The following is a 27,965-nucleotide window of genomic DNA, read 5'->3' as shown; positions in this document are numbered from 1 at the left end:
ACTTGCTTTATGAGTCAGGTGCTCCTGTTTTGGGTGCTTATATATTTATGATAGTTACATCTTCTTGTTGAATTGAACCTTTTACAATTATTGAACGCCCTTCTTTGTCTGTTTGATTTTTGTTGTTTAAAGTATGTTTTGTCTGAAATTCAGATTGCAACCCCTGCTCTTTCGTATTTGATTGGTAGATTTTCCTCCATCCCTCTATTTCTAGCCTATAGTTGCCACATTAAGCAGGCAAATTATTTTTCTATATAAACATTGCAAATTTTTTTAAGTTTTCTTTTAGAATTTTTGGGATTTTAATTTTTACATTTTGGTCTATTATCCATTTTTATTTAATGGATGTATTTGTTGTGAGATAAAAACCAGAGTTCATTTCTCCTTACATACAAATATCCAGTTATTTTTATACAATTTTTTGAAACAGTTTACACATTTAAGTGCTTTAATACTTCCATTGAAATTCAATGGACTGCATATATGTGAGTCTCATTGTAAGTTACATTTCAATTTTTTTTATTTCTTTTTGTGCAGTACATACTTTTTTGGATTTAAGTGATCACTATAACTTAGTGGAACATATAATATTTATTTAATATGTTCTTTTATTGTTTGCTGATATTTAATTGAAAACTTTAGGGAATATACAAAAATAGCGTTGGCCTTATACATATTTGTCCTATTATGTAACATTGCTTGTAATTTATACCAATGTTATTGGTATTTCACAAAAAAATAATTTGAATACTTTACCCCTGTTTTCTACCCTGGAAAGTTAAATGAGTTAATGGAGTCTTGGAGTTTGTTATCTGACATTCTAACATATTGTTAACATTCTAACATATTGTTCACATATTTCTAAACATTCTAACATATTGTTAGAATGTTTAGAAAATTTTTTATGCAGATGTGAGACCATCCTGAGCTGTTCCTATTATTTGTAAGAAAGCAGTGATATTTTCGTATGCTTCTCTATGGAAATGGATTTATTTAGAATTTTCTTCTTTTTTGGTTTGGGTAAGTTATATTTTTTATAGAACTATCCATGACATTTATTTTTAGCTAGTGTATTTCAAAATAGTTTTAGATGTATACAAACTAGCTCTTCATATATTTTTTAAATTTTCATTGTTTCAATGCATACACTTCATCATTTGTCATTTTTTTTGTGTAATTGTGCAACTTTCTTTCCTTTTGTTAAATTTTTGTGGGTACATGGTAGGTGTATATGTTTTGGGGTTACATGAGATATTTTGATAGAGGCAAGCAGTGTGTAATTATCACATCATAGTAACTGGGGTATCATCACTTCTCTGCCCATTTTTAAAACAGATTATTAGATTTTTTCCTATAGATTTGTTTGAGTTCCTTATACATTGTTAACCCACTGGTCATATGGGAGTATATTGATTAACTTCCAGGTATTTTTGTAGTTTCCAAAATTTGTCTTGTTATTGGTTTCTAGTTTATTCCTTTGTAGTCAGAGAAGATGCTTGATATTATTTTAATTTATTTGAATGTCTTAATACTTGCTTTGTGAACTAACATATAGTTGGTCTGTCCTTGAAAATGATCTATGTGTTGAGAAAATAAATGTGTATTTTGTGGCCGTTGGATAATGTTCTGTAAATATCTATTAGCTCCACTCAGTCTATAGCGCAGATTAACTCCGAGGTTTTTTTTATTTTCCACTTGGAAGAGCTGTCCAGTGCTGAAAATGAAGCATTGAAGTTTGCAGCTGTTATTGTATTGGAATCTATCTCTCTTTTTATCTCTAATAATATTTCTTTTATATATCTGGGTGTGCCACTGTTAAATGCACATATATTTAAAATTGTTGTATCCTCTTGCTGAATTAACCTGTCTATCATTATATAGTTATCTTCTTTTTATCTTCCTATCGTTTTTGCTTTGCTATCTATTTTTGTCTGGTATAAGTATAGCTACTGCTGCCTTTTTTGGTTCCCATTGGCATGAAACATTTTTTTTCAACCTCTGTATTTTCAGCCTATGTATATCTTTAGAGGTAAGGCTTGTTTCTTGTAGGCAACAGATCATTGGGTTTTTTTTGTTTTTTTTTTTCACCCACTTGGTTACTGTATGTCTTTTGATTAGAGAGTAAGGACGTACTCCTGCCATTTTGTTATGTGTCTTCTGATGGATTGTGGTCTTCTCTTCTTTCTTTGCTTTCTTTCAGTAAAAGTGATTTTCTCTGGTGGTATGATTCAATATCTTTTTATTTTTGGTGTACTTGTTTTGTGTGTTTTGATTTCAGGTTACTATGTGGCTTGCAAGTAATGTCTTATAACCCATTATTTTATTTTATTATGTATGTATGTATGTACTTATCTATTTATTTTGAGACAGAGTCTTGCTCTGTCACCCAGGCTGGAGTGCAGTGGTGTGATCTCGACTCTGCAACCTCTCCCTGCCAGGATCAAGCAATTCTCGTGCCCCAGACATCTGAGTGGCTGCAATTACAGGTGCATGACACCATGTCTGGCTCATTATAATTGTTGTACATTTTTAGTACAGATGGGGTTTTGCCATGTTGGCTGGGCTGGTCTCAAACTCCTGACCTCAAGCAATCTGCCCACCTCAGCCTCCCAAAGTGCTGGGATTATAAGGATGAGCCACAGCACCTGGCCCCATTATTTTAAGATGATAACAACTTAACAATGTTTTTAAAAAGAAGCAAACAAACAAAGAAGCAGAGAGAAAACTAATAAAAGCACTATACTTTAATTTTTCCCCTGACTTTTAACATTATATTGTTTCTATTTATATTGTACTGTTTATATCTTGAAAAGTTGTTGTAGTTATTACTTTTGATTGGTTCATTGTTTAGTCTTTCTAATTAAGATAAGAATAGCTTACATATCACAGTTACAGTGTTATACTACTCTGAGTTTTTCTGTGTGCTTACTAGTACCAGTGACTTCTGTACCTTCAATGATTTCTTATTGCTCATTACCATCCTTTTCTTTCTGTTTGTAGTACTCTCTTTATTATTTCTTATAGGGCAGGTCTAGTGTTAATGAAATCCCTCAGCTTTGTTTGTCTGGGGTAGTCTTTATTTCTCCTTTGCATCTGAAGGACATTTTTGCCATACATACTGATAGTGGAGGAGACAGGCAAATGCCTAGGCAGATATGGATGGGTCCCCGGTGGAATCCTTACCTCCAAGCTAAAGACAGTTTGAAGCCTGAAAGCCAAGCTACCAGTCAAATCCATAGACTGGATTGAGAACCTGTCTTCCTGTTTGGCACACTTTTCTCTGATTCATCCCCACTCTTCACCTATTTTACATATACCTACCCTTTTCTAATTGGTTTTCTACACTGTTGTGCCCATCTCTGAGTAGTGTATTTGCTTTAACCTTTTGTGCCTACTTACAAACCAATTAGCATGCACTCCCCTATTATGTGCCCATAAAAGCCCCGGACCCAGACACGCTGAGAGAAAAACCACCTGACTGAAGGGATTGGGGGTACCATCCCTGCATTCTCTGTTCACTGATAGTTGATCTGTCACTCAATAAAATTCTTCCCTGCCCTCCTCATTATTCAAATTGTCAGTGTATCATTCTTTTTGGTCTCAGGACAAGAGTTCAGGAACCACTGAATATGGGTACAAGGTATAATACAGTCAGGCCAAGTTGGTGGGGTGCCTAGAGTGGAAGGCCCAGGCACAAATGAGGCCTAGGTGGTGAGGGAGAATCACCAGCTATGGAGGTCCCCAGCTGGTAAAGTGGCTGAGATGAAATTCCTCAGCTTTGTTTACCTGGGATAGTGTTTTGTTGTTGTTGTTGTTGTTGTTGTTGTTGTTGTTTTTCCTCACATCTGAAGGAAATTTTTGCCAGATATACTACTCTAGGGTAAAAGGTTTTTTTTGAGTACTTTATATATGTCATATAAGGTACCCCTTCTGGCCTGTAAGGGTTCCACTGAAAAGGTGGCTGCCAGATGTATTAGAGATCCATTGAATGTTATTTGTTTCTTTTTTCTTGCTTCTTCTAAGATCCTTTCTTTATACTTGAGTTTTGGGAGTTTCATTATCAAATGCTTTGATGTAGTCTGCTTTGGGTTAATTCTCCTTGGTGTTCTATAACTTTCCTGTATTTCAATATTGATATATTTCTCCAGATTTGTGAAGTTCTCTGCTATTACCCTTTGATTAAATTTTTTACTCCTGTCTCCTCTACCTCCTCTTTAAGGCCAATTACTCTTAAATTTGCCCTTTTGAAACTCTTTTCTGGATTCTGTAGGCATGCTTCTTTGTTTTTGATTCTTTCTTCCTTTATCTCCTTTGACTGTATTCTCAAATAGCCTGTCTTCAAGCCCACTAATTCTCATGCTTAATAATTCTGCTACGAAAAGAATCTCATGCATTCTTCAGTGTGTCAATTACATGTTTAAACTCTAGAATTCCTGCTTGATTCTTTCTAATTATTTTCATTTCTTTGTTAAGTTTATCTGATAGATCTCTTAATTCCTTCTCTATATTATCTTGAATTTCTTTGAGTTTCCTCAAGATAGCTATTTTGCATTCTCTGCCTGAAAGGTCACATATCTCTGTTTCTCCAGGTTTGGTCCGTGGTGCCTTATTGAGTTCATTTGGAGATGTCATGTTTTCCTGGAGGATATTGATGTTTGTGAATATTATCTCTGTCTGGGCATTGAAGAATTAGGTACTTACTGTAGTCTTCTCAGTTTATTCTTATTTTTACCCAAATTTCTTGAGAAGGCTTTCTAGGTATTCAGAAAAACTTGTATGTTGTGATCTAGGCCTTATCTGCATTGGGAGGCACTCCAAGTTCAATAACCCTTGCAGACTTGTAAACCTCCTTGATTGTCTTGGATAATATCCAGAAGGGTTCTCTGTATTACCAGCCAGATACTACTATACCTTTTTTTGCTTTATTACACAGGAAGTCCTTCTCTCTCTGTTCTAAATGGCCTGGAGTGACACAAGCCCCTCTGTGGCCACCACCACTTGAAATGTTCTGGGTCATACCCAAGGCCAGCAAAGCACAGGTTCTTGCCCAATGCCCTCTCTAATCACTATGTGACTACCACCTATGTTTGCGCAAGACCCTGGGACTCTCCAATCACCAGGTAGCAAATCCAGTTGGGCTTGTGTCCTTCACTTTAGGGCAGCAAGATCCCTCAGGCTCCAAGCAGGTCTGGAGCTTCCATTTGGGAGCCAGGGACTAGGGTCAAAAACCATGGAAGTCTACATAATGTTCTATTGTACTCCACCTGAACTGGCACTATGAGACAGTCCTTCTCACTCTTCCTTCCCCTTTCCACAGGCAGAGGAGCGTCACCCTGTGGCCACCAGAAGCACAGGCTTAGGAGGAGTACTTCCAGGCTACCGCCAATGACCCTTCAAAGCTCAAAGGCTCTTCAGTCAGCTTGTGGTGAATACTTCCCTGTCTGAGACTTAACCTTCAGGGTAGTGGGTTCCTCTCTGGCCCAGGGCAGGTCCAGAAATCCTTTCTAAGAGCCAAGGCCTGGAATTGGGAACTCATGAGCCTGCTTGCTGCTCTATCCACCTTAAGCTGAGCTGGTACCTTAGGTGCAAAACAAAGTCCCCTTTAGTTTTCCCTCCAATATTCTCAAGCAAAAGGAGTCTTTCCCCATAGACATCACAGCTGGGAACATGCTGAGTCTCACCTAAATCAGCTAGTCTCAGAGTCTCACCCAAGGCCTACAATGTACTACCTGGGTATCACTGCTGGTTATTCAGATCCCAAGGGCTTATTAGTCAGCAGCTGATGGATCATGCTGAGACTGGGTCCTTCCCTGTAAGGCAGTGCATTCCCTTCTGACCCAGTGTGTGTCTAGAAATGTTGTCTGGGAGCTAGAGTCTGGAAGGGGAGCCTCACGACTCTGACTGGTGCCCTATCCTACTGTGCCTGAGCTGGTACCCAAGATGCAAGAAAAAGTCCTCCCTACTCTCCTCAAACAAAAGGAAGGGGCCCCCTTTGCAGCTGCAAGCTGTGCAGCCTGGGTCTGGGGGAGGGCTGGCAGAAGCTCTCCTTTTGCTGCTCCGGCTGTTGCCTCAATAGTTCACGTGTCCTCCCAGTTCACTGGCTCTGAGACCAGTTCAGCACTAGGACTAATCTAGCAGTTGCAGTCATCGTGGTCTACATTGCCTTTCAAGTTTATTTAGAGCTCAGAGCACATGGTGGTGAGGTTTGCCAGAACTAAAGTTCCGACTACTAAGAAGGGCGATTCTTCTCTGGCTAGGGCTGGTTTAAACTTCTTCTGTGAGAGGCAGCTGAGTTCAACCTGGTTTTGCTTTCTGCTATGACAGGCAGCTCTGAGTTCAATGCAGTGTCTCGTAATTGCTAACTTCTCACTCTGCCAAGTTGACAGATTCTCTCTTTGTGCCATGATGCCAGTGCTGGGGTGGTGAAAAGGTGACATTTGTGATTCAAGACTGTTTTTTACCCTCCTCAGTGCTTCTTCCAGTGATATAAGGTTGATACCAGGTATTGTGAATGTTCACATGATTTGGGGGTTTTATTAAGGTGCTTTTGTGTGTGTGTGTGTAGATAATAAACTGGTGTCCTCATTGGGAGGATGATCAGTGGAGCCTTCTATTCAGCCATCTTGCTCCACCCCTCCATCTTCCCTTTAAATTATACTACTTTATTGTTTTTTGTAAAGAATTAGCTTTTATTTAGTTCCAGTATATTTTCTGTCACAATTTACTAGTTTCTGTTTATATGCATGTTATTTCCTGCATCCTTTTCATTTTTGATTTACTTTTTCTGTAGTGAATTTTACTTTAATGTATAATTTCTCTTTTTCCATTAATGTATGTATTTGGTGTAATAAAGTTATCCGTAAGTACTATTTTAGTTGAACCCTATGGGTATTTAAAATAATTACATGTATTAATTACTTATATTTAATTATTTGTTACTATTATTTTGATAGATTTGGCAAATTTTTGTATCTGGAAAGGAGGTTGTTTTGCTATTACTGATTTTCATCAATATTATTATTATTGATAAAGAAGTTTATTGACTACCTCTATTGGCCATTTGAGGGATAACTGTGAGATTGGTTTTCAGATATTTTGTCTTTATGACTGCAGGAGATAACATGGATTTCTTTAGGAGCATGTTTAGATGCATTCATGTCATCACTATAGAGCTTGAGCTGGAACTTGGAAGGCCTGAGCAATTATTTCCTTTCTTCACTTTTCCAGAGCAGTTTCCAGCAACCAGACAAACCTATTATACTCCTTAATTAGACTCAAATGTTCTAGATATCAAATAAATAGTCAAAAACTTCGATGTCTACAGGCATTTAATTAGGGATAAACATTGGTGACATTTTACATATCTCTGTTATTAGATCATGCCATGATCTACCTCTGCTGTCTTTACCACTAGAAATAAACTCATTAACGCCTAGAAATTTAACTAGATTAGAGAACCAATTTCAGGAAACTCATAACTAATTTGGAAAGCACATTCTTAAAATTCTGTTCTTTCAAAACCACCTTCAGTACAAAAGTCTAAATCTGTTAGCTTTCTACCAGAGAAACATAACCAATTGGAGATATAGTCTAAGAAATTTAATGCAAGGAACGGATTTATATGATTATGTGGGATGGCTCAGGAAGTCTAAAAGTGTTTGACAGGCTGCTGGGAGGGCAAACTAAAATTCTCTGTGCCGCAAGTTAAAGCTGCTATTCACAGACAGAATATCTTCTTCAGGAAAGCCTCAAATTTGCTCTTGAGGTTCTTCAATGGATTACATTAAGACATACAGAATATATAAGATAATTGCTCTTATTTAAAGCCAACTGATTATGGACTTTAATCACCTTAATAAAATACATTCATAGCAATACCTATACCTATACTAGCATTTGATTGAATAACTAGGAACCGTAGCCTGGTCAATTTGACATAAACAGAAATACACTATCCACGAGATAGACTTTTTCATTGTATTGTTTATGCTTTCGATATTTTTATTGAATTTTTGCCTTGATATAGCCTTGGTTAAGAAAGATATTTTATTAGTTATCTGTTGCTATGTAACAGATTACCACAATCCTGCTGGCTTAAAATAGCATAAATTCATTTCTCACAGTTTCTGTCAGTCAGAAATCCAGTGGCAGCTTAGCTGGGACCTCCAATTTAGTGTCTTTCATGAGGCTGCAATCAAGGTGTCATCAAGAGATGGAGTCTCATCTGAAGGCTCCACAGGTGAGAACTTACTTCCAAGGTCATTTACATAGTTTGGGTTCTTTTTGAGTACTTGGACTGAGGGCATCAGTTTCAAACTGACTGAAGGCCTGAGACTACCCTCAGTTTCTTGTCATATGGACTTCCTCAAATGGCAACTTTTTAATGAAAGCCAGAAAGAGAGAATGTATGCTAGCAAGCAAAAGTCAGTCTCTTATAATCTAATGTCTAAGTGACATTTTACTACACATTGAGGTATACTGTTTGGTAGAAGAAAGCTATTCAAAGAGAAAGAATCATTATTAGGCTATAAATACCAGGCTGTGAACATCAATAGGGGGGACCTTAGACATACCTATCACAGGTATATTGATTCTTATTATTCAGGTATGTCCATCTAATTCTTCCTACATTGCCCGTAGTTTCCTTTTTGTGAAACCTTTCATATAAATATGTTTATAATATTTTACTATGTATGTACAACACCAGTCCCTCTCTTCTTATATCTTAGAAGTTCACCTTGAAAAGAATCATATTGGTGATAAGTAATTATGATAACATGTAGGTTAATTTCAAAAATCTAGGTACTCAGGAAATTAAAATAATGTGATATTTTCAAAATTTTGAAGGCACATTTAACTAAAACATTTATACTTGGGACATTATATGCTCAGCCATACGGTACTCATTTGTCTTTTAAGAAGAAATAGATAGCTTTTTGTACATTTGCTAATGATGCTTCATTTCTGCATTAAATAATTTTTATTGTTTTTTTTCAGTAGTCTCTTGTACATCTGAACTTTATACTATATACATCACTAAAATATTATTAGATTGCACAAATCACAAAGTGTAGAATCAATAATGCCCCAAGGAAGGGGTGCTTATTAAAAACACAAATTTTCAAACATTAATTTGTAAGCAGATTTCTTATTACATTATTTTAAGAATAAAAAGACATAACTTTATTAGTATTATCATTACCCCTTCCTGCATTTAAAGTTTTAGTTATCTCTTTATTTTCTATCTTTTATAGTTCCTGTTTTTCTGAATACTTCTATAGAAGGAGTTGGTGTAGTAATATTATAACATATTCCATCTACAAGACTAATCCATTCCACTTTTAAAACTGATACTGCTACTTCTCCTAGAAAGTTGCTAGCTGCCAATTACCAATATCCTGGAAACTCTCAGTGGTTGTGGGACATTGCACCATAACCAACAATACCACCCTATTTGTGTCTTCCTTAGACAGTTTGGTGCAGAGTTCTAATGCCTTCATCCTTCATTGGTTTCAATTTACTTCATCCCATCTATGGAAATATATGACTGCCACTTGAGAGTGTGCCTTTTTTTTTTTTTCATTACCAAACTCAGAGGTTTGTGCCATGGGCTATTGTGTCACCCAAAATTATTATGATGAAAGTTTAATTTCTGATGTGACTATATTTAGAGATAGAGCTTTTAAGAGGTAAAGTTAAATGAGCTCATAAAGGTAGACGTTCTAATGTAATAAATTGAGAGGCCAAATAAGACGAAATAGAGAGGGAGATCCCTCTCTGCGCGCACACAGGAAGGAAAGGCCACATGAGGATACAGGAGAAAGCAACCGTCTACAAGCCAGGAAGAGAGCTGCTCACTAAGAACTAAACTGGCTGGCACCTGGATATTGGACTTTCCAGTCTTCAGAACTGTAGAAAAAAATTTCTATTGTGAATGGCACATATTCTGTGGAGTTTCTTATAGTAGCCGGAGCAGAATAAGACAGCTTACATTCTGGAACAAGTGTGATATGTCTGTCATTCCAGAAATCTTCCATTTCTAACATTTATGGCCACTCACCATGATTCTTAGGTCCTGAGAAGATTGCACTGATTCTACTTTAGTCATAAATGTACATGGTGTACCAAGTGTGACTGTGATTTATATAAAGATAACAGCAAAGAAGACAAAGAATACAGCTCAGCACAAAGAGGAATATACAAAGCAAGAAATGCAACACAGTTCTCAGTAGAAGACTCCATATCAAACGTCCAAGCTTTCAGTTTAGTCCCCACAGAGTTAGTTCCTTCCAATAATGCCATCTGCCTAGCAAGGTGCTTCCATCGGGCAGTTTGCTAAGCTGGCTTGGCTTTTCCTTATAGCTTTTGGACTCTTGTAGCACTTTTGGAAACCCTAGGTATGTACTTATCTCCCCAGCAGGCACAAGTAACTGGTCACAATCTCAGCAAATTCCTGTGCACTTGGTAATACATTGTTGCTATTACATGAATATCTCTATTTTTCAGGTACTTATCAAGCCTACAGTCTATCCTTTAAGGAAATTACATGTATTCTCATTTTAAAATGAATAGCATGTATATGCCTACATTTAAGAGTCATTAATATGAAGAATCCAAAATATATGTGGCTTAATCTGACTCTCTTCATCGTGTTTTAGAGATATTTTAAATCACAGTACTTTTTTTTAGTGAGTCACTGAAAGATGTAAAAACAGATTTTATAGTTCACTTTTTTCTATTAAAAATCTTTAAAAAAAAAACAAAAAAAAAGTACAGATTATTTGGGATCATTTTCTATTTTCCTTTCCCAAAAATTCTTAAAACATCACTAAAAATGCACAATTTGTCATCAATTTCAAATAAAACATCTAAAAGTATTAATTGTTTTTAAGAAATCCCAACTGGGATATGTCTGTAACACTGAGCCAGTCTTCTTCTTGTGTCCTTATTGGTTCCATTCACTCATGAAGTCATTTATATTTAATTTGATGCTAAAAAGTGTAACTAATATAGATGAACTGCTGTAATATGTTATAATGTTTAGATAATGTGATTAGAGTAGCTTCATATTTTTAAGCTTATTCCATTATGATGAGATAATAAATGAAAATTGGCTCATAAACTATTCATAAAAAATTATACAATTGCATATCCATTGAACATTCAAGAAAAGGGCAGAAAATATAGAGTATATAATATATCCAATAAGTATTCCAATAAAATGGAAATTTTTGAGAGTTGCTGTTAACATGGTAGCAATCATTTTTTGGCATGTAAGTGTATAACATCTAGTATATTAGAAATTGTTTCTGCTTAGTCTTCAAAAGATATGTCATTTTTCCAAAATAAATTTCATTTTTTTACCAGATTAAAAAATACAAGCAGCTAAACTGTAAAAAAACAAAAATACTAAAAAGCAAATAACTTGAAAATTCTCTTTTGTCCCACCAACTTTGATTTTTGAGTTCTTTCCAGAGGAAATTATTTTCAATTTTTTAGTTACATTCTATTATTTATTTAGTTATATTTATTTAATTAAATACTACTGTTGTTTGGTGTTTGGAGGCAAAGGTTGCGATGAGCCAAGACGGTGCCACTGCACTCTGGCCTGGGCAATAAGAGTGAAACTCCGTCTCAAAAAAAAAAAAAAAAAAAAAAAAAAAAGGAAAACAGGCCTGGTGCAGTGGCTCACTCCTATAATCCCAGCAGTTTGGGAGGCCAAGGCAGGCAGATCACCTGAGGTCAATAGTTTGAGACCAGCCTGGCCAACATGGCAAAACCCCATCTGTTGATTTATTTCATGGTAATTAAAAATTTTGCTCTCAAACCCCAACTTTCTCACAACAATGCCACAATTTCACATTATTTCAGATTAAATCATTATAATTATTTACATTGTTATAACTATGTTAATATTTTTAATGTTTGTTAATAAACAGATTCTTATTGGAGGGTCATTACACAGGAGTGGCTCTGCCACTTTAAAGTTCTACAGAAACAAACCAATGCCCAATGTAAGTGGTAAATTGAAAGTAAAAAATTTAAACAGTCAGAAACCACCAACTTGCTTGTAGGAATTTTTCATTCTAACCAAACAAATTTGTTTTCTTCATCTTGGTTCTGCAATCACTTTTTGAAAGTTTCCTTCTTAACCCTCTCAGCTGAGTGCTGGCCACTTGTGGTTTAGTGCTGTCCCATTAATGAATTGCTGAATGATCAAATAAACTCTAACATTTAAATGTGCTTAAGTTTTCCTTTGACGACTTCTGAGTCAGCTAGTATTTCTTTTCTCATAAAATTTCAAATTTTTACTACAGTTAAAAGTTAATTCATTACTCAGTTTCTTCTCTCTTTCTCTCTCCCACTATCTTCTGTTTGTATTTTTCATATATTTTATTATTATTATTATTATTTTGGCAACTGTCTTTACGAATGGAGACTTTTATTAAGTGTGTGACTATTCATGTTTGTTCATGTATATTATAGAATTGGACACTGAGAACCAAATAGAAAGCTTAGTGTATATGTTTGTAAACGGTTGTGAGTTTAGGAGAAGTGGGACCACCCAATAAGAGGTACACAATAGACTATTTTTAGATTTCCTTTGCCTATCTTCTTTTTCAACATATTCTTCCTGATTATTTTACTTCTCTGGTTATTTCATTTAATTGCTCTGGATTTTTTTAAGCAAATTGATGTCTCCACTAAATTTCTAGTTGGATATATGTTCTCCTTGATGTCTAAAATAACAATTGATGGTAAGATCAAGGGGTACCAGGACCATACTATTCAGAGACTCTAGGCTATTTTTAGATATGGGGCTTTTATTATGAGTGCAATGGGGGTAATTGCAGGGTTTTAAGTAAAGGAATGATATTATCTAGGTAATTTTTTAGAACAAAATCACAAAATTACCGTGAATAGATTTGAGGTAGGAATGATGGAAGAGGAAAGAAGAAGGGAGACAAGTTAGTGGCTATTAAACCCGGTAAGTATCCATTGTGTTAGTTGAAGATGTAGTGAGAACTGACTGGGTTCTAGATTTTGGGCTCACAGCTAAATGTGCAAGGGTATATCTTGGTTTTTGTTGGAAATTTTTAAATAGATGGTATTTTAGAGTATCAAGACAAATTAAAACCACTTGGAAGTTTTTCATGGTTCTTTCTTATTAACTATTCAAAATAACATTACAACAACTTCAATTTCAATTGTTGAAAACAATGTTTTAGGTATACCTGAAACTTCTTTAGATAGCATTTTGTCTGACTAAATAGTGCTTAGAGATACCATCTTTGATATTTCTGAGGTTTTAGAGGATTTTAGTCATAACCTCAGCTCCACCTTCAGATCATGCTTTAGAGTGAGTACCCTGAATGTAATTTCTGATTGGAAACCATTTCTTAATTTTAACGTTGTTTGCCATTTGGAGAGACTGCAAATCTTTAATACAAGCAAGACCTAGCTACTTTTAGCTTAGCAGCTATGCTTTTAACTTATTACTGTCTTGTTATATTTTACTATAAGTGGCAAGAAGGAAAAAAGACAGACTTTCAACATTATTGTTGGAGATTTCCTTAGCTAAATCATTTAGTCTTTTAGGTACATTTTCTACCTTTCACATTACTACAGACAACAGGGTTGTTGAATGTTCTGCCACTTATTAACGTGGATCTCTTTTTTTTTTTATAGTTCCCTATAAGAATGTTTGCCTTCTATTAAAGGCTCACCAGTACCTCTCCAAAGTCCCAAATTCTATGAATGATGTGTTCAAGGCTCAACCTTTTATCGCGTATTTCCTTAGAATCCTTACAGTTTTGTTTAGCTCCTGCGAACAGCCATTTCTAAAGTCACTGCTATGGTGCGGCTATATGGGCATTCCACTTCTATTACAAAAAAATCTGCATTCACTACATATGAGTTATGTACCAGTTATTGCTGCATAATAAATTATTGCTGAAATTTGAGACTTAAAGCTATAAATATCTATTATCTCACGGTTCCTGTGGGTCAAGAATATGGGAGCAGCTAGCTGCATGTTTCTGGCTCAGGGACTCCCATGATGTTGCATTCAAATGGTCAGTTAGACCTTGAATAGCTGATTCCAAGCATTCATATGGTTGTTGGCAAGATTTAACTTCTCACTGGCTTTTGGCTGCAGACCTCAGTTTTTGCCACATGAGCCTTTATATAGGATCTCTGAATATCCTCATGGTATGTATGCTGGTTTCCCACAGGGTGACTGATGACAGAAAAGAAAGAGCGAGAGAGAGAGAGTGAGAGTGTGCACTTGCGAGCGAGAGAACAGAAAAAGAAAGTCCCAAACAGAAGCTTCAGTCTTTATAACCTAAGCTCTGACATGACGTATCATGACTTCTTGCTTGTGCTGTTAGTCACATGGCCTGTCTTAGTCCATTTGGTGCTACTATCACAAAATATTACAGATGGGGCAATTTCTGATGAACAGAAATTTATGTCCTCACAATTCTGGAGGCTAGGAAATCCAAGATTAAGGAGCTGGTATCTTTGGAGGGTACATGCAAGAAGGTAAAAAAGAGAGAGAGAGAGACAAGGGGGGCCAACCTGTCTTTTTATAACGAACCCACTTTTATAATAACAGCATTAATCCATTCAGAAGTGTACAGCATAATGGTCTATTCATTTCTTAGAGGTCCCAACTCTTAGTACTGTAACTTACAATGGCGACTGAATGTCAGCATGAGTTTAGGAAAGAAAAAAAAAATTCAAACTATAGCAAGGTTCAACAATCTAGTTACAATAAAAAAAGGTGATAACACTGGGACAAGATCATCAGGGGCCATCTTGTAGGCTACTTACCATACTGGGTAAAACTGGGCTCCTTGTATATTTTGATCAGCAAGCCCAGATGTTTTCTTGTTGAAGAAGTGACTCTTTCAAAGCAGGAAGCCTTATGACAATCACATTTCTCTTGTGGTGGAAATATTTTGCCCTAAAGACATCCAAAGAACTGCAATGACATTTTAGAAGTTGGATTTAATGTACAGAGTTTGTTTTTAATTAATGATAGCTATTTTCAAAGTAATGTTTTTTTTTTAAAGAATAAAACACATGCCAGCTATCAAAAAGGTGAGGAATTTTTAGAATTAAAATTTCTGCATCAGCTTTCACAAGAGTCAACGGTAATCTGAACTGGCATCCAATATAAATATTAAATACAGGCTGATCTTCCTCCTAGCCATATGCATTTAGATGGTCCCAGGGGAATTACTTTGGACATCATGAAGCATGGCTTTTAAAAAGCAGCTGCTGTTTTTATGAGAACTGATTTGGTTTCCCAACAAAGTAAGCATTTTAAAAGAAAATCGATATAAACTATGAGATGTGTACAGGTCTGAAAATGAACTAAATTTTTGGTTACTGAAACACTGAAGATTTGTATATTTTAAATAAAAGGTATATACTTCATAATTTCTAAGACGGCTAGCAAACTTTAAAAATAAAATAGCATTTTATTCATGTGATACCCAGAATTTGAGTTACATCATGGTCCAAGCTTCCTTTCTGATTGGGATCCCAGGTCCCTCATTAAAAAAAAAAAAAAAAAAAATGAACTATTAGTATACTCAAGAACCTGGTTTGATGAATCCCTGGGGTATTAGGCTGAATGAGAAAAAAACAAAATCCTTAAAAGTTTGCATACCAAATGATTCCTTTTACATAACATTCTCAAAATGACCAAACTGTAGAGATCAAGAATAGATTAATGATTGCAGGGAATTATGGAGGTGGGGGGCTGGGTAGGTACAATTTTAAAAGGCTAGTACTAGGAAATTTCTTGGTAGTGATAGCACAGTTTTGTATCTTGATTGTGGTTGTGATTATATTAATCTTTAAGTGTGGTAAATATTAATAGAACTACATGCACACAGAGACACACATGCACACACACACATACATAAATGAGAGTATAGATTATTCCAATTGATGATTGTCAGCTTCCTGGTTTTGATACTATACTGCATGTTATGCGTGGAATTACCATTGGGGGAAATTGGGAGAGGAGGATACGAGACTGCTCTGGAGTCTTTTTCACTTTCCTATGAACCTATATATGGGAGAGTTCCCCAGGTGGCTTGGAATGATCCTGTTTTCCCCTGTCTACCTGCTTGTAGCTCTCAGAATTACCATAGAATGTGTGAGGAATGCAATACCTTGAGATAGGGAGGAACTGCATGAAACAGTCAAGGCCTTGTTCCAGTCTCGCTTAGGAAATGTAGCATCATGAATCACAGAGGAACTACCTGGGACATCCTGGGCTTTCCTTCTGTTTCCCCTGAAAGCAAGATGCGCTTCGAAGCTTTGTCCAGCGAGTCACACCGCCCCTGAAGTATATAACCTGGGTTATATACTTGAAAGGCAGGCTGCCTTTCACTCAAAGGGGGTCATGCTCAGTCAAGACTCCATCCACTCTGAACAGCTTTTTCCAGCCTGAGGGGACTGACTCACAATGGAGTCTAGGATTTTTTTTGTCTCTTGCTGCCTATCTGTAAGAAATAAACCTAAATTCATATAACTTGCTGCATGTAAGTGTGTTCTCTCACATCGGATTCAGGCAATTGTTGAAACCGGAGCCCAAGATGCAGTGGGCAGAAGTGTTAGAACTGCTATTCCTGGTGGATGACATTTGCTATCCTCTATGCATTGGAAGTCCTCCTTTGAGACTGGTAATTAGCAAACCTGATTCTCACTATAATTATTTCAATATAAATGGTTTAAAAATAATACAAAATGAATGAATAAATTATTTAATAAATTGCCATCTTGAGAGCTTGTTTGGAGGTTCCAGCAGGGGAGCGCAGCTACTCCTATACCCTTGACCGGTAGTCCTTTATCGGGGACGGTTGTCCTCTTCAACCGCGTGTGCAGCTTCATGAAGGACACACATGGAGCAGTGAGGGAGGAAGGGGACATGCGTCTAGCCAGCCAGATCAGCCGAATCAACCCTGGCAATCAATGGGGTGACAGATGTTGCAGCCAGATTGCCCTCACATCCAATCTGAGAGGACACTTTTAATATCACTTTTTACATCACATTCTTTCATAAGAATATATAGAGCAAACACACAGCTATCAAGAATTCAAGGAGAATTAAACTAACTCTATTGAGACTAATAGATTATAAATGAGAAGACTGCATTTTATAGTATTAACTTATTATGACACATTTATATTATTTTGATAAAATTATGAAAGTCAGTCTTTGAATTCTAAATTAAATTTTATATGAAAATTTGAAACAAATGAAGTGAAAGATTTATTGTATAAGGATATACAACTAGTACTGTAATTTTTCTGCTCTTATCATCAAAACCAAAGGTGTGCAAACCCTGTGTTCAATAATTTATTTAATAGACGACACCATGTTACAGAAGAGTAAATGTAATTATTTAAAACATGAAAACATGGGCATGGTGATTAGAATTGTATATACGTTTTTCTCTGTCATTTTTGTTTGTTTATTTTTTAAAGTAGCACGACTACAGTATTCTTGGGAATCTTCTCAACATGTGAAGTTAAAAAATACCTCTCAGTAATTAATTGGCATTGCATTTAAAAATGGAAAAAATTATTATAGTGTATCATCAATTTATCTGCTGATAGACTTTTGATTATTTAAAATGAAATGTATATTTAACTATGAATCATAAATTATTAGAGAAATAATAGTAAAAGGTTAGAGACATTGTCTATTGAATTGTGATATATTTTATTTTGCCCTATTACTGATAGAAGTAAAATGAAAAATTTTGAGTTTTTGAGTATTTTTAAATCAATCATTTATCTCTGTAATTTAAAGTATGCTCTTTACACATTTTCTTGCTTTTATATTATAGTAATTATTAAGTTCTGAAAAATACAATAAGACATCAGATATGTGGCCATTGAAAAAGAAGATATAGAATGTTCTCTCTAGCAAAAGGAAGAGAATTAACTGAAAAGCTATTAAAATTAATAAACATTTGTTATATAGTTCACTAATTTTAGGGAGTCAAAACAAATGCAGGTCACAAGAAAAAATACATTATTATCAATGATCACTCATTCATTGATTTATTCAACATTTTGAAAGATTACTATGTGTCAGAACATGTTCTATAGGATGCACAAAATTCTTCTCATCAGGGAGATTATGTAGCAATAGTATAATACATAACATAAAATACCTAAGAATAAACTTAATACATGCCACATGAGAAAAAAAAATGCCTCAGCTTGTCAATGGATAAACAAAGAGTGGTGTTTCTCTACAATATAATACTCAGTGATAAATTGTAATGTTGAGAGTAAATGTGTAATGGTAAGTATAGCAAGCAAAACACAAAAGGTAAGGTGCTATATGATTCCATTTGCTATATTCTAGAATAGGCAATACTGCGAGGACAAAAATCAGAGGGTCGATGGACGTACTGCAAAGAACAGTAGAACATTTTTGTGTGTGTGTGATTCAAATGTTCCATGTTTTGATTGTGGTGGTGTTACATGACTGTATATTTTCCAAAACTCACTGATCCATATATTTTAAATATATAAAATTTGTTAGATATATGACTAAGTAGCTCAAGTTGCCTTACTTAAAAGGAAATATAAGGTTGATCACAAGAAAGATAACAATTAATTAAAATACGTACAATAAATAGAGCTATTGTATAAAATTATAATCCCAGTAAAAATACATTGTATTGGAGAACTTGAAAAAATATAGAAGTTCCAACAAAAGCTTAAAAAAACTGTATCTTCATGAAAAAGAAACAGGAGAAATAGGAATAAAAATATTTTAAGGAGACTTTCCCTGAGATGTACTAAAGTATCATGCGGCTACAACAATTTTTCTTTTTTTTTTTTGAGACAGAATTTTGCTCTTGTTGCCCAGGCTGGAGTACAGTGTCTTGATCTCGGTTCACTGCATTCTCCACCTCCCAGGTTCAAGCGATTCTCCTGCCTCAGCCTCCTGAGTACCTGGGATCACAGGGGCCTGCCACCACACCCAGCTACTTTTTTTTGTATTTTTAGTAGAGACAGGGTTTCACCATGTTGGCCAGGCTGGTCTCGAACTCCTGACCTCAGGTGTTCCACCCACCTCTGCCTCCCAAAGTTCTGGGATTACAAGTGGGAGCTACTGCGCCTGGCTGCTCCAACAATTTTAATGATGTATGTTTGTATCAACAAACTGCAGATTTAACAATGGATCTGAATAAATGGCTCACAAAGATATCCAAATGGACAATTTTTAAAACTACTTAAGGTATCAAACTGACAGCATATCAAATATCTGTGAAGGAATTGTTTATTAAATAATTGATATGTAGATATTCAATTATTTTTGGAAATGGAAATATCAAAGTAGAGCATATAGCTTAACATTCATCCAGGAATTCACAAATAGAATAAAAATATTTTTAAAAAAATAATACAAGTATGGTTGCATATTTAATCCTAGCAAGAGTTGCTAGGTTATATTTTGCCAATGGAATATTTGAAAAATGCAAGAGAAACAATAGGCATATGTTGCAATTCTGGTGGTGTCTTGATTCAGCAGAATCAAGATTCAGAAATTTTTCAGGGGCTTCTGAGTGATTGCCTGAAACTCTCCCACAGTATGTTGAGAATCGTAACCATCACCAGCTTGCTCTTGGGCTTTTTTATGCTATTTCTGATGCTAGCAGAGATTTTTTCCTTATCTTCATCTCTTCAGCTCTCCCAACAGTTTTACATGTATCCGAATATTTGAATTTAAACTTCCTTTTTTGATCTATCTAGATTGGTTTCTATTTTCCTAACTAAAAATGTCTAATAAGAGATTACTATTTGTATGTCAGGTTCAAATTGAGGTAGTGGAGTGTATTCAACAGTTTGAAATGAAGTGTCATTTCCAAGGATATTGTAAAAATATATATTTGTTCAACCTAAGACCTAAATAATTATTTTATAAAATATGATTTATTCAATCAATTTTTATCAATTTCTGGCATAAGTCCATTTGCTCAATGGTCTCTAATTTAAATTTGGATATTAGATACCTGAAAGTGTTCAGTTGTACAACTGTCTGAACAAATTATGAGCAGAAGCAATTTCAAATGTGCATTGACTATATCTCACTATATAAAAACTTAGATTATCCGTCAAAATTGCCCTACCAAATTTAATGTTCTCTTCAAACCTTAATATGACTCACTTACAAAACATAAATCTGATGATAAAATAGAGGGAAGCACAATAGCCCTAGTATTTTTCTTCCTAAAACATATTACCCAGTGATTGAAGAAATTCTTTTTTTTATAAATGAATGCTTCTTTTCAGAGGTTCTGTGAATTTTGTAGAGAAGTTGGATTTTAGCTGTTAATTTTTTAACTTCAGAAATGTTTTTTTCCATATTTTGTTATAATATGAATCTTTATTAATTATCATTTCATGGCTGTTTTGAAATGATTGCACTGGATAACACTGCTTTATAATAACCATTAACTAAAGACCTTAGTTATTGTGTTTAGAGGTTGTAAGTTCATCAAGTTTACCAAACCCACGAAATATTAAGCCAAATTTTCATTGGTTTGAGCTAGATCAGATATGGCTGCTTTTCCATTATTCATGTGGAGAAGCTTTACACGTATAAAATAGCCAAGTAGCCAACCTGATGATGTAATTCTCTGGAACCAAAGGCAATGAGTCTTCAAACTTAAGATCTTCATAAAGATAAATTTGACACAAAGCCCCTGCTTCTTCTGAAATTTGGAAGACTGGATTCATTTTGCCCACTCCTACGTGGGCAAGATCTAAGGAAGATGTTCTAGCATAGAAACAAACTAAACAGAGCCTTAAATCTTTCATAATTTTCCCAAAGCACTGCCATTGTAAGAGAGTTAGAAATATCCTTGAAAAACAATTAGTGAATTGTTCATAATTAAAACCCCCATGATTTTTTCAACATTTTTTAGAATAAATGTACAGTGACTGTAAATGTGGATTTTCAATGCACATGATGTACTGGTGGGGAATATATTGCTATCAGCCATCGAAAAATGATGCTTCTTTATTTGTGTATTTGATGACAAAGTAAAAGTAAAAACAACTACAATTTGGCAACTATAAAGTGCCAAACTCTTAGATATATTAGTTGACTTTGATTCTCATAACATTCGTATGAGGAATTAATATGAGAAGTTTACACATGAAAAAAAGTAGTCTTGGCAAGGAGGCAGAAACTAATAACAGCTCATTCACATGCACATTTTATTTATCTGTTTATTTGCTTTGTTTAGTTGGCTTTCTAACTACTGTTATCAGCTTCCCATATAACTAATAGTGTCCAAATGACTAAACTGGATCAACAGAGTATAAATTTTAATATATGTGTACAGAGGATGTGTGTCACCTCCAGTCCCAGTTAACGTGTGTTGCATATGGCATTTTCTATGTTTTTCTCTTCTGGTTTAAACAGAGAGAACTTCCAAGGAAACCTAGGAAGCCATATTTTAAAACTGGTAGAGCTTTGGCTGCTGCCTAGTTTCCACCTGGCTACCTAAATGACCAAATGGAGGAAGACTACCCCATTCATGTTCACCCACTCATTACAATTTCACAAGCAATAGACAAAGTTCTACTGTGCTTGAGTCATTATACAATTTTCGTTTTTGTGTTTAAAGTTGCCCTCCCCGATGAACTAAGTTAGTTAAGTAAATTCCCAAACTTGGTAAATGGAAGAATTCTTGAATCCAAATCACAGGATTCAAAATCCCAATGTCTCTGCACCATGTAGTAGAATACGCATGTGCGTGCATGGGTGCGTGTGTGTGTGTGTGTGTGTGTGTGTGTGTGTGTGTGTGTGTGTAGATAAATAAGCACATACACAGAAACATTCTTCTGTGATTACTTACCTGGTAAATGGATGTTTAAAGACACCGATTAATATATAGTAGGCTTTTGTAAAGTACACACATATTTTAAAAGCTGTTCTTCCATTTATAATCAGCAACTACTATGTGACACTTTTTGTAATTCTTTTTAACCTATTTGGCTTTGTAGAAAAAAAGAAATTTCTCTGTGTTCGTGAACATTGCAGGCCAAGAGTACTTATCCATTATCCTCTCTCTGGCTTTGGAGATGCTCCACGACATCATTTTGTTTTATTTAATTCATTGGGAGTCAGTCTTCTGCAGGCATGAGTTTGGCTAGTGCAGGTTACCTAGCAAGAATAATTTACTTGTCTAGGCAGTTATTTACACTAAAAGTATTTACAATAAAAGTTATGTGTAACATAAACACCATGTAGTATCTATATACCTTCATAAGTTACATCATATTTAATATTTTATTTTGTTTCTGTTAAGTAGAAGATTTTTTTTTTAAGTATTGTAAGAAGTAAGTAGAGAATTTTCCTAAGCGGGGAAAATGGGTAGGTTTTTTTTGTCTACAACTGATATGGTTTGGCTGTATCCCCATCCAAAATTTCATCTTGAATTATAATCCCCATGTGTCAAGGATGGGACCAGGTGGAGGTAACTGGATCATGGGGGTTGTTTCCCCTATGCTGTTCTCATGACAAGAAGTGAGTTTCACTGAGATCTGATGATTTTATAGGCATCTGGCATTTCCCCTGCTCACACTCACTCCATCCTGCCACCCCTGTGAAGCAGGTGCCTGCTTCTCTTTTGCCTTCCACCATGATTGTAAGTTTTCTGAGGCCTCAGCAATGTGGAACTGTGAGTCAATTAAACCTTTTTTTCTTTATAAATTACCCAGTCTTGGGTCCTTCTCCGTAGCAGCCATGAAAATGAACTAATACAGTAAATAACACAAAATAAAAATAAAACAATAGTCCGTAGGCCCCTATTCCTCAATAATTCCAGCCAACGGAGTTATTTCTTCACACTCACAGATTAGTAGCACATCCATACTTCTTCAAAACTGCCATTTTTCTGTAATGCAGGTTCCTTCCATTCATTCTCTACACCTCAGAAAGGGTGATCTTTCTTAAATGCAAATCTGATAAAATGTTCAATAACTTTTCTTAAAAGGCCCCTAATTGCTTTCAATTACCCTCTGGATAAACTCTAACCTTCTGTAGTCGTGACCATTATATTCCATGCTTCAAGGAGAACAATTCCTGATCTATTGTATGTTCTTCATAGTGAATTTTTGAATAAATTTTGAGTTTATTCAATTTTTAAATAATTTAATTTTTAATAAAAGGTGAAATAACTTAGACTGATGGGGGCCAGGGAAGGTTGGGTTCTGGGGAAGGTTATGAGCCATATGTCAAAGTCTTTTATGAGTGGAGAGCAGTGGCAAAACATTACTCTAGACCCTTGAAGAAAATAGCAGAGAAGTGTTCTTGAGATGAGAAAGAGGAGGAAAGATTATGATGTCACTATTGGACTTCATACAGTCAGGTTTCAATACAGTCCAGGGAGTTGAGAAAACATTCAATTACAAGATAAAGATACATCAAAAGGTTTCTATTGTTGTTCTTAAAGCCGCATGCCCATCAAGTTCTACAGTCTACTTCATATGTCTTCCTGGATATCTGATAAGCTTTAAAATGACTTAAATGTGACTCAGCACTTCCTCTCCCTGTGTTCCTCGTTTCCGTTAATGTCATTACTTAGCATCTCTATTATTTAGGCCAGTAACCAGACTCATTCCAGAATCTTGACCTTTTTACTAGGATTTTAAGTCCTTAACATTTCTCAGTTTTGTTATTCTGTTTCCATCCATAGTAGGTATGCCTAAATTCAAGTTGTTATTATTTCTCTCAATTATTACCATAATTTCCCACTTAATTCCTAGCTTCATGGAGAAAGTCTGGCAGAGAGTTTAGAGCAAAAGCTATTTGTGAAAGCAGAAGAAACCTAGAAATGAGTTTTGTTTGTGCTAATAACCTTGGGCAAGTTAATTATATACAGTCTCTTATATGTAAATTAAGTTAATAACAGAAAAAGGAGAGATTTCATGGTAAGTTATGTTTGTAAATGGTAGCTGATATTTTCTCATTATCTCATTTTGCCTGTGTTAAAAATGCTTTCAACAATTGCAATGATAATTACAAAACACAAAGTTGCCTAGGTCAATCTTTTATTGAAGTATTATCTATTATTCTATATATTTTTATAGAATTACACAATTCAATATATGCTTCCCATGGTAAACCCCTCCAGCCCTTCAATATCATATTATTTTTCTCCCCTCTGGAAATATGTACTCTGATAACACAGAACATTTAAGAGTTCCTCACAGAGATTTCTCTTTCCCGTGCCTTTTTCTTACTAACACTAACCAACACTTCCTTCCCACTTATTTGCCTGAATAAATTTTATGTATCCTTCAAGCCTGAGTCCATAAGTACTACTTAAGACCTTTTCCAGACTGCTAGGATGTCCTGTTAGCCTTTTGCATAACAGTCATATATTATTTAAATAATAAACTTATTTTAAATTTTATTTGTGATTTTTCCCCTCTATGCTGTCAACACCTCAATATCAGAAGTCGTGACTTACCTTTATAATTACTAACACAAGCGTGGAGGTGGCACACGATAGGCATTCAGTACATTTTTAAACTGAATTTAATTTTACATTTTTGGTCCCCAAATAAACTCAGATTTCTCTGTATTTCTTCTAAGGGCTAGAGTTTCATCTTTTGTACTCTTGATTCCAAGTTACATATTATTCCTGATTATACATTCTAGAATTCACTTCTTCCCTCCTCCACACTCCTGTAATCACAACTATGAATATGAAGCTAAATTAATTTAGTTTAATTTGTTGGTGAGAGAATGACTACTTTTTTAAAATGCCAATTTGGTTTGATGTTTTTGAGAAATATATTCTACAATGATATTTTGAAGTTTTATTTCATAATGATAGGGCAATTCAATACTGTTGATAAGGATGAAAAGCATGTCGTACAGTATGAAAGAAACGTTTTGTACAATGGCACGGCAGAAGGCTGCACATGTCATTGTACCCTTAGAGAAAACCTGATTGGCTCACTAATATATGTAGGCGCATTTCTGTCTGTCCAGATAAATTATACATTTCTAGAAGGATGAGTATGCCATGGCTGTCTGCTTTTTCAGCATCTGGCAATACATATATGTAACTGACCCTTCAACAATACAGAGTTGAATTGCACAAATCTGCTTATACTCAATTTTTTTTAAATAAAAGATAAATTGAGTGATCCTGCTTCTCCTGCCTCTCCTGCCTATCCCTTCTATGTCTGCCTTGCCTAGAGACAGCAAGACCAACTCTTCCCCTCAGGAGGAGGATGAAAGAGGCTGAGGAGAAGGAAGACTTTTATGATGATCCACTTCCACCTAATCAATAGTAAATATATCTTCTCTTCCTTATGATTTTCTTAATAACATGTTTTTACTTTATTATAAGAATACAGTATCTAATACATATAACCATACAAAATATGTGTTAACTGTTTATATTATGGGTAAGGCTTCTGGCCAAGAGCATGTTATTAGCAGTTAAGATTTGGGAGGAGTCAAAAGTTATACATATATATATTTTTTTACCATATGGGAGACCAGCACTTCTAACTCCCACATTGTTCAAGTATCAGCTGTTGTGGTTTATACGCTTTAGCTAATTTTAGTGATGGCAGGTTCTGTAGCCCAGTAAATCATAGATGGGGAAATACCCTCAGGCAAGGCAATCAGAACTATACAAAGAAGGGATGGAAAAAACAGAGAATTAAAACTCAGAATTAATCAAATATTAATTATTCATGACTTGGACAACTTTCAATTTTTTGGTTTCTTCAGTTGTACAACATTGTGCCAAGTCCCTAATATATGCTTACTCTATTTGTTCATTCCCTCTTTCTACTCTATCTGCTGTCCCCACATAGATGGAGTGAAGATTGTTATAAATATATTTATCTCACAGAGGCCTCATGCGACTCAGAATTTGAATGACTTAAAAGTGTTTTATAAAGTCTAAACTGTTATAGAAATATAACTTATTATGCATTTATATACTTAATTATATAATTATCAAATATTTATGTTTCCAATAATTTTTACAAGTTTAATGGACAATGATTAGTCAACTAAGAAATGTGGCTGTATATATTAGATATATACTAGTATCCATTCATACAATATTGCTAAATTGAAGATTATATTAAGGAGAGTAGAAAAACATTAGAATCTTAAAACATATTTTGGCTTTAATTATGAGGTGATCCAAATGAGATATGAAGCATTATCAAATAAAGATAAGACATTTATTATAATTTGGGAATACAAATATCTTATTTTGGACATTATTGAAGTAAGAGGAAGGCAAAGCTCACTAGGAAGTGCATAAAGTTAATTAAATGGTTACATATATTTAAATTTATATATACTCAAGGGTAGCACTTCTGAAAAATCTTACTAAATGTCAACCTTAATTATAAAACTAAAAAAATTAATTATTAATCAATATAATTTTAGAGGCTTTTGAAATTTTAAGAATCTCTCAAATCTAACTTAAATCAATTTCAATTTCATTCCAATTGTTAATGCAGCCAGCTGTTTAGAATTCAAGCAAAAATACTTACTATTAGCATTTTCAATATTCTTTGTAAAGTCAACAAACAGCTCAAAAAGTATGTCAGAAAGAACGACTATACTACCCTATAAAAGAGAGGTGGTTCTATTCTCAAAATCTTATATTAAACATTTTACAGAGACCTTTAACAAATTGTTAACATCATTTAGTTCAATGATGCATGCATAAAAATATTCCAATAAATTACATGTTATCAGTTATCTCTTCCTCTTTAACAATTTACCGCAAACTTAGTGGATTATACCAAAAGCAGTTATTATTTCATAGTTTCTGTAGTCCAGTTGGCTGGTCATGGCTTAGCAAAGCTCTGATCAAGATGTTGGCCAGGGCAGGGATCTCATCTGAAGATTTGAATGGGTAAGGGTCAGCTCCCTTCTCACTCAGTTTGTTGGCAAAATTTGTTTTATTGATGCTGGAAGACTGAGGCCCCACTTCTTTGTCACTGTAGTCTAGAGATAACCCTCTCAACTCCTACAGGCTGTCTTCCATTTCTAGAGACTACCTGCAGTTTCTTGCCATGTGGATTTCCCATCATGGCCTTTGACATGATCATACCAACAAGGAGAATCTCTAGTCAGCACCTGATAGCAAGACACACTTTTATCTAATATAACATAATCATGGGACTGATATCCCCTCGCCAGTAAATGTATTAATTAAAAGCAAATCACAGGTCCTGCCCATACCCATGAGGATAGTTTTTAATCAGGAGGGATTATTATGGGAAACAACATGGAATCTTTTCCCCAGACTGTAGAAATAATACAAATCTAAAATTTTAAGTGAAATTTCAGGGGAGTAACAATAAGGTGTGAGGTGCTCTAGACCTTTGAATCTTTGAGCCACTTGAATTTTCATCCTAATATTTTCATAATGAGGATTTTGAAATATCATAGTTTATCCAAAAGCAGTTATTTAAGGAATAAATAAAGGAAGGATCGTATGTCTAGGTTAGTCTTACACATCCACTGGAATCAATTATCTCTTTCTATAAACAAACCAAATAAAGGTAATAAGTAAAGGAAAATATAAACATAATAGCTTTTCTTTTGTATGTGTTTGATAAAATTGGCACTCTTTTTAAAAAATAATTAGCCCCAAATGCCCTTTTTGAGAATGTGCACCAGATGTACTTTCTAATTTCTGATACGTTCACCAAGGCTCTAGCTCTATGTCACCAAGATTTTTTTAAAAATGTTCCTAATACAATAAATTCAAATGGATTGTTGATAAAAGGCAGAGATGTTTATAAAATTAGCAAGCCCATTTTAATTAAATAATTACAATAACAGAATCAATAGCCCATATATTGGTGGTCAGAACAGTATTTTACATATTAAAATATAAAATGTAATTACTTAC

The 27,965-nt window shown here is 34.8% G+C and overlaps 1 long non-coding RNA gene and 1 pseudogene across 1 annotated transcript; one reads left to right on the top strand and one right to left on the bottom strand.

Annotated features, from left to right (window-relative positions):
• Positions 1 to 903: 903 nt before the first annotated feature.
• LOC105374705 (uncharacterized) lies at positions 904 to 25,355 on the top strand. The gene is made up of 4 exons (XR_001742505.1): positions 904 to 1,020; positions 5,318 to 5,425; positions 8,124 to 8,239; positions 25,268 to 25,355. It is a non-coding gene; the product is annotated as an uncharacterized LOC105374705 (long non-coding RNA).
• Positions 16,790 to 17,032, bottom strand: RN7SKP207 (RN7SK pseudogene 207; annotated as a pseudogene).
• Positions 25,356 to 27,965: the final 2,610 nt, after the last annotated feature.

Source organism: Homo sapiens, chromosome 5 (genome assembly GCF_000001405.40).
Source record: "Homo sapiens chromosome 5, GRCh38.p14 Primary Assembly".
NCBI classification, from domain to species: Eukaryota; Metazoa; Chordata; class Mammalia; order Primates; family Hominidae; genus Homo; species Homo sapiens.
Note: the sequence above shows the minus strand (reverse complement) of the source record. Positions and strands in the feature narration are given on the sequence as shown.